Source organism: Homo sapiens, chromosome 5, assembly GCF_000001405.40.
Source record: "Homo sapiens chromosome 5, GRCh38.p14 Primary Assembly".
Classification (NCBI taxonomy): domain Eukaryota; kingdom Metazoa; phylum Chordata; class Mammalia; order Primates; family Hominidae; genus Homo; species Homo sapiens.
In genome coordinates, this window is record NC_000005.10 from 38384911 (window position 1) to 38407739 (window position 22829).

At 41.5% G+C, this 22829-nt stretch overlaps 1 protein-coding gene and 1 long non-coding RNA gene across 5 annotated transcripts in view; one reads left to right on the forward strand and one right to left on the reverse strand.

The window, feature by feature from the left end:
* The window catches only part of EGFLAM (EGF like, fibronectin type III and laminin G domains), a 206922-nt gene that overhangs the window by 126352 nt on the left and 57741 nt on the right, over positions 1-22829 (forward strand). For 2 of the 3 annotated variants that reach the window (NM_001205301.2, NM_152403.4), the window contains exons 7-8: positions 21216-21331; positions 21918-22236. In NM_001205301.2, the coding sequence (NP_001192230.1) occupies positions 21216-21331; positions 21918-22236 (435 nt within the window). Of the gene's footprint in view, positions 1-18630; positions 18982-21215; positions 21332-21917; positions 22237-22829 lie in introns of those variants that run through there. The other variant, NM_182798.3, reaches the window with a different exon arrangement.
* Positions 14904-18561, reverse strand: EGFLAM-AS2 (EGFLAM antisense RNA 2). 2 transcript variants are annotated; one of them, NR_102750.1, is made up of 3 exons: positions 18489-18561; positions 16914-17171; positions 14904-15096 (listed from the first exon to the last, which is right to left on the reverse strand). It is a non-coding gene; the product is annotated as an EGFLAM antisense RNA 2 (long non-coding RNA). The 2 variants fall into 2 exon arrangements; NR_102749.1 differs by lacking the exon at positions 14904-15096 and having other exon boundaries at positions 15541-17171.

Here is a 22829-nt window from a genome sequence, read left to right on the forward strand (position 1 = left end):
TGGGGGGAAAGTGCTACTGGCATTTAGTCAGTAGAGACTAGAGATGTTGCTAAATATGAATACCTTGCAATGCACAGAACAGCCCCCTACAATGGAGAATTATCTAGCTCTAAATGTCAATAGTACTGAAGTTGAGGAACCCTGCTATAGAACAAAATCAAAGTTAAAAACCTAACCCCTGTTCAAAGTAAAGTGGCAATCAGCTGGGAAATTAACTGACATTTAAAAAAACAACTATTTATCAAACTTTTTTGGACTACCACTTATAATAAGTGTATGCAATTTACATTGCAACCTAGTACACACAAACATAAACAGTCATTTCTCTGTATTCATGGAGAATTGATTCAAGGACTGTTTCCCACCCACCCCCCCCCCCCGCCCCCGCCACCGCCAACAAACACCAACATCCAAAGATGCTCAAGTCTCTTATATAAAATAGAGTAGTATTTTCATATAACCTGTGTACACTCTCCTGTATCCTTTAAATATTTATCTCTAGATTACTTATAATACCTAATACAATGCAAATGCTATGTAAATCATTTATATACTGTATTGTTTAGGGAATAATGACAATAAAATAAAGCCTGTACATGTTTAGTATAGACATAACCATCCATATTTTTTTCCAAATATTTTGGATGTGGGTTAGTTGAATCTGCAGCTGCAGAACCCACTGATACTGATGTGGAGGGTCAATTGTATAGAAGTACATGTGCATATGTGCAAATGTGTCACAGACACTCACAGTACTCACCATTGCTAAATGCAGGACTTTGTATTTTCTCATACCCTTCAGTTCCAATTTTTAAAGTGTGGTCATGTCCCATTGAATTATTTTTATAATTCACTAATGGGCTTAAAATCTGTAATACTGAACTAAATACAGTAATGCGTTGCTTAACAACAGGGATACATTCTGAGAAATGCACCATTAGGTGATTTCCTTGTTGTGCGAACATCCTAGAGTTGTACTTAGACAAACCTAGACGGTATAGCCTACAGCACGCCTAGGATCTATGGTATAGCTTATTGCTCCTGGGCTACAAACCTGAACAGAATGTTATAGTACTGAATACCACAAGCAAATGTAAGCAGTGGTAAGTGTTTGTACAATTACACATGGAAAAGGTACAGTCAAACTATGGTATTATAATCTTACGGGCCTACCATTGTACATGGGTTCCATCATTGACCAGAATGTCACTATGTGATGCATGACTATATGTAAGGATACTGAATAAAGTAAGGGTGTATTAGGTATGCAAGTTACCAAAAGGATCAGCCATTCATTTCACAAATACTTTGTTGTTGTTGTTGTTGCCCAGGCTGGAGTGCAATGGCGCCATCTTGGCTCACTGCAACCTCCACCTCCCGAGTTCAAGCAATGTCTCCTGCCTCTCCCAAGTAGCTGGGATTACAGGTGCACACCACCACGCCTGGCTAATTTTGTATTTTTAGTAGAAACAGAGTTTCACCATGTTGGTCAGACTAGTCTCGAACTCCTGACCTCATGTGACCCACCCGCTTTGACCTCACAAAGTGCTGAGATTACAGGCGTGAGCCACTGCGCCCAGCCCACAAATACTTATTTTTTTTATTTTTATTTTTTAAGAAGGAGTCTCGCTCTGTTGCCAGGCTGGAGTGCAGTGGCACAGTCTTGGCTCACTGCAACCTCTGCTTCCTGGGCTCAAGTGATTGTCCTGCCTCAGCCTCCCAAGTAGCTGGGACTACAGGCATGTACCACCACTCCCAGCTAATTTTTGTATTTTTAGTAGAGACGGGGTTTCACCGTGTTGGCCAGGATGGTCTGGATCTCTTGACCTTGTGATCTGCCCGCCTCGGCCTCTCAAAGGTCTGGGATTACAGGAGTGAGCCACTGTGCCCAGCCCGAGTACTTATTTTTGCCAAACCCTTTTTGAAAAGAGCTGAGACAGCCCTTGCCCTCCAGGGGTCATAATCCAGTCCAGTGCATAGACACACATACACAGTTACCCATATGGTGACGCACAGATATCAAGAAAATGCTCTGCAGCACGGAGGAGGGGTAATGCTGGTTTTGTGGGTCAGGGAACTGGGAGGTAGCGTGGCCAAGTTTTCACATCACGGTGACTTTGGGGATCACTGGTAAAAGTTAAGTGGAATTTCTCCAAAGGGGCAGGCGATGAGAAACAAGAGAATTGGGCAGAAGGTTTTCTGGGCTGAGTGTGGAGGGAGGTGTTGGAGAATAGCCACAGATATTGTCCAGACACCAAAAGGCATAGGGGCATAGAGGCAGAAAGTAGAAACCCATCCTGCAGCTCACTGTTGGGCTAATATAAAACCACCTCCACTGGCTTGTTGCTCTCCTGCTCCTCCTTGCTCAGGATAAAGGCCGTATGATGGCCTGACATTCCCAATCTTTCACAATCCACTCCCTGCCAACCCCTTGATTTATTGCTCCTGGCTTCATAGCATGAGCCCTCCATGCCAGCAGATGGTATACCAGCTATCCCAACTGTCTCCAGGAGCCTTTTTGGCTATTCCATCTCCTCATCTTTTCTCTGATCAGTAAGTTCCAGGTAGTTGGTGTTTTCTCAAGGTGTAGGTTTCAAATCACTGCAGAAACTCTTCCATTGGAAAGCAACCCGTGGTGAGCTCACCCACCACACAATTCTGTTTGTTATTCTGACAGTGAATTCTCAGTCTTAGCATTTCATGATTCCCTCTCTGATGGAGAATGACTTTGCGATGCTTCAATGCTTGGAAGCCCTGAGCTGCGCTCCTGGTTCCTCCTCTTTCTTTGTCTTGCTTTAGTCAATATGCCAATACCAATTTGAAAATGAGAACCAGTTACTCTTGCTTGTATTTATTTCGAAAACGTTTCTTGGACACAGATTAATTGTATGACCTAGAGAGAGGCTGTCTTGCTCCTGTCACAGGCTGTCTATGAGGTTTTCTTCTAATGTCGCGAATGGTTATGGGTCAGTGAAGACTCAAGCCAGGCTTCTTTCCCTGATTTAAGACTGACTGTCTTTGCCTGACCTTATATACAAAGTAAGGGAGGTTTTCTTTACTGTGGGACACTGATGGGACCCTCCCCAGCTTAGTTACCACTGATTTTCTCTGCCCACAATGAAGCCTGTCTACCAGAGCCAGGCTTTTGGAATGTGAGTTTACTCAAGAGATTTGAATATATTTTTAAATCATGGATATTCATTTCCAGTCATGTACAAACATGATTTGAGACAGTTCCACCTGACACACCTTTTTAATTAAAAGAAGTATGATAACATAATCAGAAATTAAATAGAGATAGCAGACGTGATTATATCAAGACTAGAGATGAGATAGTTACTTAAGCCCTTGAAGTCACTCAACTTTGAGCTTCCCAGAAATCAAGGTCTTACAGAACTCTTAATGTCCGATCAAAAAATGCAAACCAGGCCAGGTGTGGTGGCTCACACCTGCAATCCCAGCATGCTGGGAGGCCAAGGTGAGAGGATTGCTTGAGCCCGGAAATTCAAGACCAGCCTGGGCAATGTGGTGAAACCCTGTCTGTCTCTACAAAAAACAAAAAGTTAGCTGGTGCCTGTAATCCTACACTTTGGAAGGCCAAGGCAGGTGGATCACTTGAGGTCAGGGGTTTGAGACCAGCCTGGCCAACATGGTGAAAGCCCATCTCTACTAAAAAAATATATATATATGTATATATAAATTAGCCCGGCATGGTGGCACATGCCTGTAATCCCAGCTACTTGGGAGTCTGAGGCAGGAGAATTGCTTGAACCTAGGAGGGAGAGGTTGCAGGGAGCCGAGATTGGGCCACTACCCTCCAGCCTGGGCAACAGAGTGAGACTCTGTCACAAAAAAAAAAAAAAAAAAGTTAGCTGGGCTCAGTGGTGCACACCTGTAGTCCCAGCTACTCAGGAGGATCATTTGAGCCTGGGAGGTCGAGGCTGCCGTGAGCCCTGGTTGTGCCCCTGGACTCCAGTGTGGGTGACAGAGCAAGACCCTGTCTCAAGAAAAAAAAAAAAAAACAAAAAAAAATGCAAATGAGTTTTTCAGTGAAAATAATTTTTTTTCTGGATACATAAGAAGAAATTACCAAATGAATCATTGTATAAAGAATATTGAGTGTTATGATGAATAGTGACTTTCAAAGCAGTTTTATAGTAGATGAGAAAATATTTTTTGCATGGCTAGATTTTTACTGATCCTCATTAAAAATTAAGGGTGTTAATTTGAATTGTAGTTGAGTGAATGGCATTTCTACAGGGATGATCGAACTTGACAGAAGGAAAACCCTTAGAAAATTAGAAGCATTGATGATTTACATGCCCTTTATAATTATTCAGCAACTTCTCATGTATAGTTTAGAGTCCATCACCTAATATACATTCTTCTGTTGAATACCAGAGTTTTTCTTTTAAACCACAGCTCAACGTGATTTTTCTAAAGCATCTTAATTATTTTTAGTTCAGACACTCTCTCTGAAGGTAGTAAAACTTCCTTTTCCTTTCTAATTTGTCTAGACTGTCAGATACAATCTAGATAAATCACCTCTTGGATTTTGTATTTCAGTATCAAGTATTCGTTTATTTGCCTAATTGCTTGTCTATGTAGAAATCACCATGTTGAGTCCTAAAGTTTTTTCTTTATACTATAAAAATTTTGTCAGTTTATATGTAGGGGTAGGTCTCTAAGCTGAAACATTAGTCCTTCCAAACTATTCTCAAGGTTTTGTTATGGCTGTTTTTTGTTTCCCCAGCCTGGATAAGTTTTATTTTTATGTTTTTCATTCATATTTTTGTTTCCATTATTCTGGTAAATATCAAAGAAACACTCATAATCTCTTAGTTTGGATTTTGTTTTCTATATTCACATCCATACACATAATTTTCCCTCCTATTTTTATCTCTTTGACATTTTACTTAGCATTCTGACAGAACTTCTCAAGTTCATCCACTACATCACTGATTCAAGTTTCTACAGTATTCATTTTGTTTCTTATTATTGTAGGTATGGATTTTTATTCTCCTAATAAAATTTAGGCTTTGTTACATTGTTTTGTATTGTGAGTTATTTTAAGTGTGGTGAAAAATATCAGGAACAACTGTATATTCATGACCCAGGTTTATAAAATCTTAATAGGTGCCACATTTTTTTCAGTGGTAGAGAAAAAAATTACAGGTACAGGGGCAGCCCCTGAGTACTTCCCAACACTATTCCCTTCCCGCTTCCTGAGGGGTTCTTGAATCTGGTATTTATGATTCCCCCCATCACTTTTAATTCTTGTACCAACATGCATATATTTATTTGCAAACTTTATGATACTGTTTAGAATGTTTTAGCATTTTTTATAAATGCTATGACATGGCAAGTATCCTTTTGCAAGTAATTTTTCTCTACAATCTTATGTTTTTGACTTTTATGCACGTTGAATTATAACATTCTAGTGGATTCAGTGTTAGTGTTGTATAACATTCTACTATATGAGTATACTGTAGTTGGACATTTAAGTTGCTTCAAATTTTTTTCATTAGAAACCATATTACAATGAACAGTCTTGTGTATGTTTCCTTGTATGTGTGTACAAGAGCTTTCTTCAGCATGTGCTTTGAAGTGCAACTGCTATATTGTAGTGCATGCATATCTTCAGCTCTACTACCTATTATAAAATTCTTCCTCAGTTTCACTGCTATCTTCACTCCTGCTGACAGTATATTCGAAGTTCTTACTCCACATCCTTGTCAACACTTGGTATTATCAGACTTTGAAATACCAATCTGATGAATGTAAAATGATATATCATTATTATTTTGAATTGTACTTCTCCATTTCTAATGAAGTTAAGCATAACTTTATAATCTTATTAGTCATCCTATGAATGGACTGTTTATATGCTTTGTCCATTTTATTGGTATAAATACCCATGTATATCAATTATATATTTAGCATATAATTTTATATATGTAGTAAATATTAAATATATGTTTAAATACTAATCCTTAGCCAATCATGTGTTGCAGGTATCTCCTGTAAGTCTGTGACTTATCTTTCATTTCAGTTATGGTATCCATTAGGAAGAAGTGTTTTAATTCAATGTAATTAAACATCTTAAGTTTTTTCTTTTTGATTTATGCTTTCTGGCTAAAAACAACTTCTTTTTTCCAAGGTCATTAGGCAATATCTTATATTTTATTCTAAAAGTTTAAAAATTTTGCTTTTCATATTTAGGGTGTTAATCCACCTAGAATTCACTTTTATATGGAGAGCCTACTTTAATAATTTTTTTCCCCATATAGATAACCAGTTTCCCCAGCACCAAGTATTAAATGATTCAGCCTTTCCCCTATTAATTCGTAATGACATCTTTCTGGTATATCAGGTCTTCATACATTTCTGGATCTGTTTCTGAGTTCTATATGCTGTCAGTTTCTTTATCCCTACTTTAATACCACAGTGTTTTAATTTCTTTTTTCTTTTCTTTGTGTGTGTGTGTGTGTGTGTGTGTGTGTGTGTGATGGAGTCTCACTCTGTCACCCAGGCTGGAGTACAGTGGCCTGATCTCGGCTCATTGCAACCTCAAACCTCCTGGGTTCAAGTGATTCTCCTGCCTCAGCCTCCCGAGTAGCTGGGATTACAGGCGCCTACTACCACGTCTGGCTGATTTTTATATTTTTAGTAGAGATGGGGTTTCACCATGTTGGCCAGGCTGGTCTCGAACTCGACTTCAAGTGATCCGCCCACCTCGGCCTCCCAAAGTGCTAGGATTACAGGCATGAGCCACTGCGCCCGGCCTTACACAGTGTTTTAATTTCTACCACTTTATGAAGTCATGATATCTGGTAGATGATTTCAGTCCTCATTGTCCTTCACAATGCCTTTTCTTTTTTTTGCAGACACAGTTTTACTCTGCCGCCCAGGCTGGACTGCAGTGGCGCAACCTTGGCTCACTGCAAACTCTACCTCCCAGGTTCAAGTGATTCTTGTCCCTCAGCCTCCCGAGTAGCTGGGATTACAGGCGCCCACCACCACACTCGGCTAATTTTTTTTTCTTTTTTAACTTTTATTTTAGGTTCAGAGGTACATGTGAAGGTTTGTTACACAGATAAACCCATGTCATGGGAATTTGTTGTACAGATTATTCAATCACCCAGGTATGAAGTCCAGTACCCAATAGTTATCTTTTCTGCTCCTCTCCCTATTCCCACCCTCCATCCTCAGGTAGACCCCAGTGTCTATTGTTTTTCTTCTTCGTGTTCATAAGTTCTCATCATTTAGCTTCCACTTATAAGTGAGAACATGAAGTATTTGGTTTTCTGTTTCTACATTAGTTTACTAGGGATAATGGCCTCCAGCTCCATCCACATTTCTGCAAAAGACATGATCTTATTCTTTTTTAGGACTGCATAGTATTCCATGATGTATATGTACCAGATTTTCTTTATCCACTCTGTCATTGATGGGCATTCGGGTTGATTCCATATCTTTGCTATTGTGAACAGTGCTGCAATGAACATCCGCATGTATGTGTCTTTATGGTAGAATGATTTATATTCCTCTGGGTCTATACCCACTAATGGCATTGCTGGGTTGAATGGTAGTTCTACTTTTAGCTCTTTGAGGAATGTCATAAAGATTTCCAGAATGGTTGAACTAATATACACTCCCACCAACAGTGTATGTGTTCCCTTTTCTCCACAACCTCACCAGAATCTATTCTTTTTTTTTGGGGGGGCGGTTCTCACTGGGATTTAATATCATGGTTTAGTGTTCATCATCTTCATTTTTTTAAAAAATTATACTTTAAGTTCTAGGGTACATGTGCACAACGTGCAGGTTTGTTACATATGTATACATGTGCCATGTTGGTGTGCTGCACCCATTAACTCATCATTTACATTAGGTATATCTCTTAGTGCTATCCCTCCCTGCTCCCCCTACCCCACGACAGGCCCCGGTGTGTGATGTTCCCCATCCTGTGTCCAAGTGTTCTCATTATTCAATTCCTGGCTAATTTTTGTATTTTAGTAGAGACCATGTTGGCCAGGCTGGTCTCAAACTCCTGACCTCAAGTGATCTGCCCACCTCAGCCTCCCAATGTGCTGGGATTACAAGCGTGAGCCACCGCACCTGGCCCACAATGCCTTTTCTTTTCTTGATTTTTTGCTTTTCAATAGAAATTTTAGAATCAGTTTTTCAATTCCATGAAAAATTCTGTTGGATTTTAAAAATGAAAATATATTGAATTTTAAAAATGAAAATTAGATTGTATTTATAAACTAATTTTGGAAGAACTGACATCTTTATGATATAGAATCATTGATTTAATCACCACCTTATATCTCATCTAGATTTTCTTCAGAGTCTTTTAGTGTACTTTAGTAATTTTTCTCCATTATGGAGAAAATTCTGAAACTTGAACAGTCTAAAATTCATCAAATCTATTACCCTCCTCTCAAACAATAATAACACAATAGTGATGAGACAGGTTAGTTCCCTCAACCCCTTTCATGGTAGGGAACTGGAGTGGTTCGTTTTACTCAGCCCATCACTGGCCACTCCTCATGGCAGGAAGAGTGCAGGCACCAGAAGTTCTTTATAGCTTTTGTTAGATTTATTCCCTCTAAAGTTCATCACAATCTATTACCCTCCTCTCAAACAATAATAAAACAGTAATGATGAGACAGATTCGTTCCCTTGACCCCCTTCGTGGGCTGGAACTGGAGTGGCTGGTTTCACTCAGCCCACCGCTGGCCAGTCCTTGCGGGAGGAAGAGTTGGGGAACCAGAGCGAACGAATGCTGGCACTGGCTGGTCACTCCTCTCTGGCGGAGCAGGCTCTGTGAGGGGCCCCGCAGCAGCGTCCAAGCATGTTACCACCAATGCTCTTTCAGCTGTGCCATCCAGGGACAGCCAATAGCCAACCAGCTTAGTAGAGGGTCAGGGTGGCGGCCCCGGCCCTCTCGGCACCCGGGTTCTTGTCCGGTGTCCAGGAAGAATCAGGTCACACAAACTGTTTGAAAGGTGATGAATACAGAAGACTTCATTGAGCGGTGGGTGGCTCTCAGCGGAAAGGGAGGCTGGAAAGGAGATGGGAAGGTGATCTTTCCCTGAAGCCCAGCCATCTCCGGCTAGGCCCATCTCCGAAGCCGCACCGTCTGAAGTTAGCCATCTATCTATCCATCTATTTGTAGTCTCCAGCACTCAGTTGCTTCTCTGCTCACCGTTCAGCTGCTTGTATCCTCGCTGCTCAGCCACTCGTGTTGCTCTGCCAGCTGAAGTTTATGGGCACAGGACAGGGGTGAGGCAAGCCAAAAAGGCAACATTTGGTTGGAAAAACGGGGTCAGCTGTTTTCACTTAGGGCTGTGGTTCCAGGCCTAAGGGTACGGTTTAGCCAGGAGCCTAGCCCTTCTGTATCAATAGGGCCTTGGCAGCTTCAGTCCAAATCAATTCCTTCTTGTGTTACGTGTTACTTTTTGGTATTTTTGTTCTATCTTGTTTAGTAACCACATTTTTTTTTTTTAATGAGACGGAGTCCCGCTCTGTCTCCCAGGCTGGAGTGCAGTGGCACGATCTCGGCTCACTGCAAGCTGCGCCTCCCGGGTTCACGCCATTCTCCTGCCTCAGCCTCCCGAGTAGCTGGGACTACAGGCACCCGCCACCACGCCCGGCTAATTTTTTGTATTTTTAGTAGAGACGGGGTTTCACCGTGTTAGCCAGGATGGTCTCGATCTCCTGACCTCGTGATCCACCCGCCTCGGCCTCCCAAAGTGCTGGGATTACAGGCGTGAGCCACCGCGCCGGGCCCACTTTTTTTTTTTTTTTTTTTTAACTCTAATGCTTGTTTAGATTTATTTACAGATTTACCACTTTCTGTGCCCACAACTCTTCGCATCTTACTCTTTCCTTCTTTTTCTTGAAATATACTTTTGAATAAATGTTTAAAGATCTGTTAGTGATAAACTGTCTCAGGCTTTATGATCATGTCTTTGTTTCACTGTTACTGTTGAACAACCATTTAATTGAATATAGGGTTTTTTTAATTTTTATTTTTTTGAGACAGAGTTTTGCTCTTGTTGCCCAGGTGGGAGTGCAGTGGCACGATCTCGGCTCACTACAACCTTCGCCTCCCGGATTCAAGCGATTTTCCTGTCTCAGCCTCCTGAGTAGCTGGGATTACAGGTCTGTGCCACCATGCCCAGCCAATTTTGTATATTTAGTAGAGGCGGGATTTTTCCATGTTGGTCAGGCTGGTCTTGAACTCCCAACCTTAGGCAATCTGCCCGCCTTGGCCTCCCAAAGTGCTGGGATTATAGGTGTGAGCCACCATGCCTAGCCTTTTTTTTTTTTTTTTTTTTTAGAGACTGGGTCTCGGTCTGTCACCCAGGCTGGAGGGCAGTGGTGCAATCATAGATCACTACAGCCTGGAACTCCTGAGCTAATGGGATTCTCCTGCCTCAGCTCCCCCACCAAGTAGCTGGGACTACAAGTGTGAGCTACTGTGCCTGACTAATTAAAAATTTTTTTTTCTGAGAGACAGGGTCTTACCATCTTGCCCAGGCTAGATATAGGATTTTGTCTGGACGATTATTATCTCCTAGCACTTTGTCTTTAAAGAGTGAGAAGAGAGGGTCTAAGTGTCTCTGGTTTGAACAACTTGCCCATCTGAATACCTAAAGGAGAATTGAACCATGGTTGGTACTCAAATGTGAAGCCACTTTAAGGAACAGAGAAGCTACACAGACTCAGGTGCTCACATCTTAGCTTCAGCCCTCTTGCTGTGCAGCTGTAGGCGTGTAAGTCTCCCTCCCCACTGGACTGTGAGCCACCGACAAGCTACATCTGCTCTCTTTGCCATCTCACTCTCCCTGATGTAGCTCCTGATTTCTCAGTGCAAGATGTGAATTGAGCCCCCTTTTTCAGGGAGCCAACTGGAGACCATACTATGTATGTCAATTTTCGGTTAGTTACCCTGTCTCTCCAAATGATTTATCTTTTCATCTTTGCTTTTCTAGCAGATCATCCCCATAAGGACACAAACGTGTGTTCTCTACTCATAGAAAAGCCTCTCCTTATGCTCACAACCCACCACCTACCACTCCATCTCCCTGCTTTCCTTCAAGCTAGAGTTGTTGTGTTCACATTCACTGTACCCACTCTTTAAAAGCCTCCTATTCATTCTTCAACCCATCCCAACCTGCTCCCACCCCCAACTACTCATATGAAAACACCAATGATCCACATTTTTTCTGAACATAATGTTGTCCCATAAACATATCACATGCCATTAAATTTCTTTTCAAAAAGTGTAAATGATAAGGAATGTGATATGTACTGCCAGATTATCCCACAGAAGGAGAGAGAGAGAGAGAGAGAGAACCCACCAAAGTGCAAGCTTCCTTTCAAAAGCCATATCCTTCTGATGCTATGGGTAATAGTTTTCTCCCATTAACAGTCAGTTTACAATTGCTACCAAACTACCAAACTTCCAGTGAAAATGACTGACTAGATACATAGATCGTATCAGATTATAACTGGGGTCTTTCAACTAACATTTATTTTGCATTTACCATGTGCAGAGCACCCTGCAAGATTTGGCTCGTATAGAAAACATTCACTCACTCATTTACTCACTCACTCATCTAACAAATACGTATTGGGTGCCTGCTGTGTACATAGCACTGAATTTTAATGTCAGCCACCATTTCAGATGTTTAGAAATGTTTTAATCACCTGTCTGAATTTTACACTGCGCACCCCACCTCCAGTCCTGAAGTATTGCCACAGAAGGTTGCCAGGAAATTATTATTCATTATTCTCTAAACTTACAGAGGCTCCAAGCCTGAAATTTCTCACACACCATGATGGAAAGATGGCCTTGGGTTTTCCTGCTGTGTTCACAGCCGCTTCTCCCATTATGCTTTGCCTATGTATCTCCTCCATCAGCAGGTGGCAGAGAAGCAGGTGCATAACACCTTGGTCTCTGGCCATCTGCTTGACTTTCCACGGCCCCGTTATCTTTAGAAAGGGAGACTCCGAGAGAGAAAGACACAGTGGCATGTGTTTGGTTGACTGGCTTATGTACTTCAAAAGGCAACACCCCACAGGGGTTATGCACCATTTGCGCTTCTGCTGTGTGGATGTGCATAAAGATAAAGGCATCTGAGAAGCTTTGAGGTGAGGCCTCTGGAAGTCACTGGATGCCTGAGGTGCCATTCTTAAGCTGTGGTCAAATAAGAGTTTCATGAAACGTGCTGAGCATAAAAGAACAACATATCTGCCTATGGCCAGTACTTAGAGCTACTTTTCCCCACCAGTCAAACCACTGCATTCATTAGACTCATTCAGATTTGAAGGGACTGGTTCCAGCAGATTATTTGGGGGAAAGGGAGAGCAAGAGAAGCCATCCACATCTTTGCAGTCCCTGAGTTCCTGTGCTGGCTGGTGTTGAGCAGGCCTTCTTCATGCAGAACCCAGCTACTAGGTAAGTCACCCAGTCGCTCTTGTGACTCACTCACACAGCAAGTACTCAGTTGCAATTTTTTTTAATTAAAATTTTTATCTTTATTTTTATAGAGATGAAGTGTTGCTATGTTGCCCAGGCTGGTCTTGAACTCCAGGGCTCAAGCAATCTTCCCACCTCAACTTCCCAAAGTGCTGGGATCACAGGTGTAAGCTACCACGTCCAGCATCAGATTCAATATTTTCTAAGATAGGGTCTACCTGAGCTGTTTGCTCACCATGTTTCAATTAGGAATGCATTAGCTGCTGCAGCTCCAGCTATCACAAGCACCTTCACTGCCTAAGCAAATGTAGAAAGCTGGGAGGTTCCAACAGGTGTCCACATGCATCTTAGTGACCCAAACTGTCATTTGACTCTCCCTACCCCCACCCCATGAGCAAAGGGGACTTAAAAATCCAGTATTTAGCTTCTGTAATATCTACAGCAGAAGCAGGTGAGAGAGGAGGGAGCTGAGGTTAAAATATCTACCTTATCTTCCAATGTGAAGCACAGATTGTCACATCAAGGACCCTCAGAGATGGCTGGTCGGAATGTGGTCATTATAAGATCAGGCATAGATCCTGGTTCAGTCATTTTTTTGGCCAGGGTAGCAGGACTGACTTTACTTAAAGCGTATAACCCAAGCCAAAGTGACTTAATGCAGAAGAGCCACTGGGAACATCAACTCCAGAGGGGCTCTGGGTGTGGATTGTTTTCCAGGAACACTCTGCAGAATGACATCCTTAAGATCCTGGAAAGGTGTGGCTCCCCTTGGGCCTGAACTTTTGCTGTTAAGAACCTAGATGAATGCTGCTGTCATATATTTTTATTATGGCTAAACTACTCCAAAAGTTCACTGTTTCTATTTTCCATACATTCTGTAAGTTTCTAAAATGTGTCAGGACTGAGTGAGGTTTGGGTGGTACAACAGAAACCAAAATAGATAGTGTTGATTTCCTCAAGGATTTTACAGTCTGGTGGGAGAATTACATTTATGAAATCATCACATAAATAAGCATAAAATTACAAACTCATAATGCCACTAAAGAGGAGAGCTATGAGAACATACCTTGTCTGGGATACAGGGAAGACATCCCTAAGAAAGTGATTTTGCACAGAAATATAAAAGAATTAAAAAGGTAAAGGGATGGGCAGTGAGGGATAAGATTTCTAAGCATAGAGAACAGCATTTGCAAAGGCCTTGAGTCAGAGGAAAGGATGGTTCATCCAAAACATTGAAAGAAGAGCCAGCACAGCTGGAGCACGGTGAGAAGGAATACATTGGTGAGAGATGAGGCTCAAGCTTGCAGGGCCAAGTCACTTAGGATCTTGGGAAGACTTTGAAGGGACTCAAGTCACAGGTCTGACCTGACATTATTCCGTCTAACCAACCAATTCTTGAACATTTGCACTGAAAGAGATGACCCAGTTTCTGTCTGTGGCTTACAGCCTCATGGAGAGAACCATTCTTATTCTGGTGGGTATTAGGGTTTTGAAGAGACACAATTAATAGCACTTTTTTTGGCCCACTTTTGAAATCAATTGAAAAATAAAACAACACAGTCAGCAGAGGAAGATGATAAGGATGAAGATGAAGCAGATGAATCAAATGCCATTCTTATTTCTAAAAAGGCTGGGTCAGAAGACGTAGCTCATTCTAAGAGCCAAAGTGAGCTTGCAAACTCCCTTCTGTCCAGTCCAGACTATGGGAGAGCCCACTTGAGGGAAAGTTTGGGTTTGCACAGGAGTCACACCTACCCAGGCTACTGTTTTCCACTATGCTAGGTGGAGAGGGAAGGTAGGAAGAACTGAATTAATTCATTCCAAATCGAATTCCTCCTCCCTCCCCAGGTTCTTTTTTATTTTTGTTTTCGTTTTTTTTTTTTTTTTTTGAGATGGAGTCTTACTCTGTCACCCAGGCTGGAGTGCAGAGGCACTGTCCCAGCTCACTGCAACCTCCGCCTCCCAGGCTCAAGCGATCCTGCCATCTCAGCCTCCTGAGTAGGTGGGATCACAGACACATGCCACTATGCCTGGCTAATTTTTGTATTTTTGTTAGATATGGGTTTTCGCTATGTTGTGCAAGCTGGTCTCAAATTCCTGAGCTCAAGCGATCCACCCACTTTGGCCTCCCAAAGTGCTAGGGTTACAGGTGTGAGCCACTGCACCCGGCCCCCAAGGTCCTTTGATAGATTAGCTTCCCTCCTTCAGAAATGTGGACCTACTGCTTCCACTTAGCAGCCAAGTCACTGTCCCCACCTCTGTAGGCAGGGAAAGCGGTTGGACAAGAATCCAGCAGTACTTCGGGAGACTCTATTCTCATGACTGGAACTTCAAGAGTAGGGAATAAGTGTTCCTCCCTTGTTGTTGCTAAAAGACATTAAGAGAAGGGACTCAAAATACAACCTGCTCCTTTTGAGTGAAGATGGATTCCGATAAATGACAATGGATCACCTCCTACAGGAGAACACAATGCTACAATCCCAAAGCATGTGACTTCCATGCTGGACTAACTTCTGTTTGCTTTTTCATCCACATAAGTAAAATTCTCCAGTTGTTTCTTCTTCAAACCTTGCTTGATGTGACAGATACCTGCAATATGTCTAAATTAAAAGGGTGACTTTTAGGATCACAGAATGTTAGTGCTGGAAAGGTTTTCAAGGTCATCAAGTCTAATCCTACTCCTTATTTTATTGGAAAACACAAGACCCAGAGAGATGAAGTGGCCTGCTCAAGGTCACCCAAGCCATTTATGTCCTTCTCCCAATTATTTGGATTGTATGACTACCGATATTTCCAACTACATCATGTTGATATAGCTGAGAAACTCATTATTTATAGAAAACCTGTGATGCCTTTATTAAAACAAAGCACAGGTTTTTTTATAAAATAAAAGTCACCCTTTTATCTATTAACAAAAATTTGTGTTTTGTTTATTAACTTTTTTTAATAACCCCTGAACTAGTGGTTTGATTATTCTGGTTCTAATAAATGTCTCCTTTTTAATGTTCTCTTTTCCTAATTAACAAAGTACCAAGTAGAAAGAGATAAGTTATGCACTTTAATTACAATAACCCCAGGCTACAGGGAGAATTCTTATCACTGGCTTGGACCGTACATTCTGTGCTCACTTAGAAATAACATTGGTAAAAACTTCCTGTAAGCTGTGGATTTGGGATCTGAGGTGGCGGGGCAGTCAGGAAAGAGAAGTAGTGAGGCTTTAGTTCCAGGTTTCTTCCATCATGCTGTGACTGGTTCTCTCTGTGCTCATTTCCTTCTTATTAAAAATGGGAAATGACTATTATCCTGGATTATTATGAGAGAGGGAGTTTGGGATGCTGCAAAGAGGACTGGGTTGCAGCAGCAGGAGCCCAGAATTCTAGATCAACTCTGCCACTAATGAGCTGCTTCTCTGGGCGAGTCTCATGGATTCTTTGAGCCTTAGTTGACTCCTCTGTAAAATGGGCTTGTTGTGTTAGCTGATCCCTGCGGTCTCTCTATGAAAGTTAAAATTACTTTGACTCTAAATCCTTGTGATTCCATATTCCTTTTCCCCTTCTTCTTCCGTACCCTATGTTTCCCCAAACTGAGTGAACTCAGGTTTCAAAGAAATAGGTTACAAAAAGTGTCAAAACGGAAACAATTTTTACAGAGACCAAAGAACATTATCCATTGAAAAATATGTGCCTTATTTTACTTGTCGAAATGAGCAGAGAATCCAGGATTATTTCCATTCTCATTATGGTATCATTTTGTAGCAGCAGCAATTTGCTTGTGGTCCTTTTCTCTGAGGAGTTCCCTTCAAGAAACAGAATTTCCTAGAGCAGATGGAGGGGCAGTAAGAGATCTCAGCCACCTACACTCTAACCCTTGGCTTCTCTAGGTTCCAGGTTCTTCTGACTGAACTATCTTTAGATACTTGATGCCAAAAAAAATTGTGCAATAGAGTCTTATGGACATTGAACTAGAGTCATATTATCTGATTCTAGAGTTAGAGCTTCCTCTAATGGGATGCATGATCTTGATTTTAAGTCAATTCTTTTCTGTGGCCTCGGTTTCCATGCTTGTGAAATGACAAGATTGGGCTGGATGGTGTTTAGATCTCTTTCCATTCTTACTTCTAGCTTCATTTGGGGGAAAAGGACAGGATTGGTGGCAGTTTTCGGGGTCTTTGGATTGGGAGGCAGAGTCCCACCATGTTGAGCAAGGGCAGGACATAGTTCAGCACTGTGGGAGTGTCTCCTGTCACTCCTCTCAAAGGTGTTGACCTTTGTTGAGTACATGAAGTGTTAGTGACATGGAGGAAGGGAAAGGATATGAAGAAATCTAAAATATGGTTTCTGCCCTCAAAGGATTTACAATCGAGTTGGTAAACACAAGGGCAAGAGTCTAAGGCCAGGAGCCCAGAAGATCTACATACCATCTTACACGTGTGTTGACTTTATCAAGCAATGGGCATTTATGCTGATTGGAGGCATATATCCATGGCTGGGTTGCCCCATCCAGGAGAAGATGAAGGAATGTCCTACAAGTCTTGGTGGCTTCTTACTTTGTGGAGTCACCATTTTTCCCAGAAGAGTCTGTTTTCTTTTTAAAATGTCGCTTGATTTTGGTCTTCTGATGGCACACATTCAGCTCTGTCTCCATAGAATGCATGCCCTCTGGGAGAATAGGTAGGCTGTGTGTAAGGAGATAGGAGTGGGAAAAAGATGACAATGGGAAAAAGCATTAACCAAAATCCTAGGGTAAGAAAATACAAGATGCATTCAGGAGACAACTGGCAGGCCAGTTTGGCTATTATATAGCTTTTAAAGAGTATTTTTTAAAAAACAACAAAAACCTGAAAACATAATTAGGATTCAGATTAAGTAGCATGATGTAGTCAAAAGAGAGACCAAGGATAAAATCTAGCCCTGCCATTCCCCATCTGTCTGCCTTGAGCAAGTTATTTAATCTCTCTGTGTCTATATCTCCACTTGGTAAAATGGAAGTAATAACACCAATTTTATAGTATTTTGTGAGGATTAACTTAAGCGATGTATGAAAAGCTCCTGGCACACTAAGAATGATCAACATATGGTAATTTTCTCAAATTCTAGGATCTTTCTACCTCCACAGTGGCTTCTTCTGCAATAGGCGATTAGGAGAGCAGTCACCAGACAGACCTTGGATTTGAGTTTAGCTCAGCCAGTTATAAAGTCTTCAATTTTAGGTAAATTACTTAACTACTCTTAACTCAGTTTTCTTATGTATAAAATGGATTAGTCATACTTACCTTGTAAGATTATTGAAAAGTTTAGAAATATATCATGTTAAGCACCCAATAGTACCTGATAAGAAGAGGAGATGGAGTAGAATTCAATAAATCATGGTGATGGGGGAAGAAGGAGGAAAAAAGGAGCTGTTTTAATTGAGAACCTTGAATTCTTGACCAAGAAGCCTAGAATTTATGTTGTAGGCAGTGGAGAGTCACTGAAGGTGATTTTTCAGATAGGAAATCATAGGATAAAGATGAAGAGAATCTTAACCTTGTTGAGAATGTGTTAATAAGGTGCACAGGGCAAGGAAGAACAGCCTGGAAGGAGAGAGACCAAACTACTGAAGACAAAAGCCAGCTTGCTTTATGTATGTGCTGTATAATTCTTTTACTACCAAATGGATTTCTTCTTCTGGAATCTAACAATTCTGAATATGTGAGAGAGGCAGAGATAGAAATGAAGAGTGAGGGAAAGGACAGAGGGGAGAAAGAGAAAGAGAGAGAGGGGCCGAGAGAGATAGATACAGTAGTTCCCTCTCCGCAGGGGATGTGTTCCAAGATTCCCAGTGGATACCTGAAACTGCAGATAATACTGAACCCTATATATGCAGCAGAACTAGCATAAATTTCATTTTCCTTCTTCACAGTTTCACAGATAGAAGATTCATTCTTGCCATAGATCTTAGCAACCTCAGCATATGATTTTTTTCTTTCCTTAATTCAGTTGAGAACTTTCACCTTTTAATTTAAAAGATGCACTTCATGGCTTCTCTTTGGCATATCTGAATCCCAGAATCACTGCTCTTGCACTGTGGGGCCATTATGAAGTCAGATAATGGTTACTGGAACATAAGCACTTCGATACCATGACAGTGAATCTGACAACTGAGACGGCTGCAGACCATGGGGCAGGGAGCATATGGAGCACGGATATGCCAGACAGAGGGATGATTCATATCCCAGGCAGGATGGAGCAGGGCAGTGTGCTATTTCATCGTGCTACTCAGAACTTATGAATTGTTTATTTCTGGAATTTCCCATTTAATATTTTTGGACTGTGGTTGATCGAGGGTAAATGAAATTGCAGAAAGCAAAAATACAGATAAGGGGGACTGCTTGCTGTACAAAGATAGAGACAAGAGGAAGGAGCTGTCCTCAAGGGCCTTTTGTGTGAAGACATCTGGCACACAGATACGCTGCATGCAGGTGGCTTGAGAGAACATGCATCCAGGTATAAATCTGGCATCGACAGGTTGAATTTTCAGTTGACAGGTGGACTACTTTAAATAAAACTGGGGAATTGGTGTGGAAGGGATGAGAACACCGCCTCCCCTTTGTTATCCCACCTCCACCAAGAAGTGCCCGAACCCCTGAGAACAGCTCACTCCACCCTGTCTCTGGGTCATCTGCATCATCTGCTGACTGCACTTCTCTCGTCTGGTCTGGGAGGAGATTGATTTCTGGTCAACAGCACGCCCCCTGACAAAAATGACTTTCTGCCATTTCCTTCCACTCCATTTTCAATCTGATTGCTATTCTGTTTGGAGGAGTGCTATGGTCGGAATGTTTATGTCTCCCTCAAATTCATATGTTGAAATCCTAACCCCCAAGGAGGGGCCTTTGGGAGGTACTTAGATCATAAGGGTGGAGTCCTTGTGAATGGGATCAGTGCCCTTATTAAAGAGGCCCAAAGGGGCTGGTTTGCCCTTTCCACCATGTGAAGATGCAGTGAGAAGGCACCATCTGTGCCCTCATCAGATACTGCCAGCCCTTTGATCTGGGACTTCACAGCCTGCAGAACTGTGAAAAATAAATGTTTGTGGTTTACAAGCCATCAGTTTATGGTACTTTTGTTGTAGCAGCCTGGACAGACAATGTAGGAGGGTGAGTTTGTCTTCCTGAGAATGGTGCATGACTTAGCTTATTCTGAAAGCAAAATGTCTTTAAGTTTAGTTTATGTTTTTTATGCTTTTTATGTTATTTTTCCTTTTTCTTTTCCACTAGGCATCCAAACACTGGATGTCTAATAACTAATGAGTGGCAGCATCCTACCAAAGCCAGTTTCTGTTGCCAAAGTTGTTACTGCCCTAAAGGCTGGTGCCTGGCTTTTTCAGTTGAGAGAGGGCAGCAAGTTAATACCTGTGCTGGCCCAAATCCACTGTGAGGACATGCAGGTGCCCTGGAGCCGCTCTTTAAAAGGCTGCCACCTCCTGGTGGAGTGTTTCCCATGTGCAACCTAAATCAGAGCGCTGTGGATCAGTGGATTCTGCGGATGACAGTTGAATAAAAATGCCAACTGAATGTTCCCCAAAAGATGATGCTCTGTATTGACGTCTGAGAGGTTTTCTCACCCACCTTTCAGTTCTGAAAGATTTAGTTGTCCTGCTAAGATGGATGAAATGGATGACCCCCAAGATACCTTATAGGGCCCCCTTTTTTTGGTTGTGGGAGTGTTTACTATAATCTCCCTTTTTTGTTTTAAAGACCTTTTAGTGAAATACTTTGTACTTCAAAAGTATATATATGTATATATACAACATATAAAAAATATGAATATTTACAGGTACCCAGCACTTACCTTAAGAAACAGAATATGATGGAATACTCTCAAAGGCCCCTGTGAATCACACCTCATTCACATCCCTTTTCTATCTTCCCTTGGGTATTTATGTGTTTGTCCTGCTTTTTTAAAGAGTTTAAATTACATATATATGTATCCCTAAGTAATATATTGTTTTGTTTGCTGTTGTCTTTTATATTAATGTCATCAAACTAGATGCATTCTTTTGCAACTTGCATTTTTTTTGTATGAAGTCATGTGAGATTAAGCCATGTTGATATATTAAATGATGATTCATTCCTTTCCCCTACTATATGGTACTCCATTCTATAGATATACTATAAATAATTTAGTCATTCTTTGTTGATGGACATTTGGGATGTTGTTTGTTCTTATAAATAGCATATTTGGAGTATTTTTTACTATTACAAATTCTGATGCTATGAACCTGTTTTGAACACGCCTTTTGGTACACAGGTACAGGAGTTTCTCCAGCTTTTGTAAGTTGGGATGGGATTGCTAGGTATGAACAAACATCTACTTTATGAAATATTTCCAAGTATTTCACAAAGTGACTGGACCAGTTTATACAAGTACCATATGAGTCCTCATTGATCCCGTCCTTAGTAATATTTTTATTATCTGATTGACATTTTTGCCAGTCTTGTCAGTATAAAATGGAAGCTCTTTCTGGTTTCAGTTGGAAATTCCTTAGTAACTTATGAGAGGAAACTTTTTTTATATCTTTTGGTCATTGACGCTTCCTTTTCTGTGTTGAATTCATTGTTATGTTTCCAATACACTGCGTTCCATTCGGTACAGCTCTGCCTGTGGCTGAGTTAGGCTAGACAATAGTGCAAAGAAGGCCTGTGCTGATGAAGGGTGTGCTGCTTTTCTTTGTGAAGGCCCTGAGGAGGCGGGAAGTGGCCGCTATGGACCCCGTTATATCACCGACATGGGAGCTGGTGAGGATGATGAAGGATTTGAAGACGACTTAGATTTGGATATTTCCTTTGAGGAGGTAACAATAATCTCTGCTCTTAAAACCCAGGGTGTTTGTGTTTTCTTGCCGAACAAGACAATTTAGCCAATGGACCATAAACATTTTACTTAAAACTTAAATGTGCCCATTTGCTTTTAACACTGATTTGTTTTGTCTGATGATCAGTCTCCAGGTGCTGATAAATCAGTAGTAGGGAAGTACTAGCCATCCTGATGTTCCATAGGCAGCTCCTGCCTGCGGACTTCACAATCTGGCAAAAACATATTTCTATTTCCCACCAAGGGAAATTTCAGAAAATCAAGTATTATAAGGAAATGAACAATTCCTTGACAAAGTCATGCATCTTCATCATATTGTAATAAGAATAAATAATGTAATATCAGTTTTACTGCTGATTTTCTGAGTAATACAAGGAAAAGCACTATAAGTCCCTGACCATCAAGCTCTTTGTCCATAAATTAGAGTCAGTGCTGTCTTCCCCATCTCCATCCTAGGGTTTTTGGAAGTGACCATGTTTTCAAGTACTAGGCAACAACTATAAATAAAACAGTCCAATTGCCATGCTCTGTGTTCATCTTGAACCCCTTTCCTTCTCTGGCTTTAGGTTAAACCACTTCCTGCTACCAAAGGAGGGAATAAGAAATTTTTGGTGGAAAGCAAGAAGATGTCTATATCTAACCCAAAGACCATTTCTAGGCTCATCCCCCCTACCTCAGCATCTCTCCCTGTGACCACGGTGGCTCCCCAGCCCATTCCCATACAGAGAAAGGGGAAGAATGGTGTGGCCATAATGTCAAGGCTCTTTGACATGCCTTGTGATGAAACTCTCTGCTCTGCTGACAGCTTCTGTGTCAATGACTACACCTGGGGGGGCTCGCGATGCCAGTGCACCCTGGGCAAAGGTGGTGAGAGCTGCTCAGAAGGTAGGCCCTTGGGGGAGAGGAAGAAGTGGTGATGAATTGGCACCATTGACAGCCAGAGGGCAGTTTTGTGGTCCAAACATAGTTCCTTCTAGTCCCTTCTCCAAGATAAGTACCTTCGTCCACATATTGGTCATTAAATTAACTATACAAGGCAAATTGTGAGGCAACTTTCATTGCTTCTAAGTAGACAGCAGCCCTATTTCTATGTGTGCCAAATGTGTAGTCCCTTTAAAGCAATCAATAAATCATCCTGATACTATCTTAGAGAGGTAGGTTTTACTATAATCACATCTCTACCAAAATACGCAGTTAAAGCTTATGCATGAGGGTTAAGAAGGATAACAACTGGGCCAACTTATATTACACAAAGGCCTGTATAGCTGAGGGCAAGTGACAGTGGCCCTAATGCCATTGGTTTCTTCTTAGGAAAGCCAGTGCCGGTCTCCAAAAATGCAGCTTCTTCCTAAGAATTTCAGAAGCTCAAAGTCTCCAAGAATGAGAGTTGTAGGTATAAAAAGTATAGAAAAGAAGATAGCGAAGTTGAATAGATTAGTGAGGGTTCTCACTTAATGATATTCAGGCAACGTTGTATA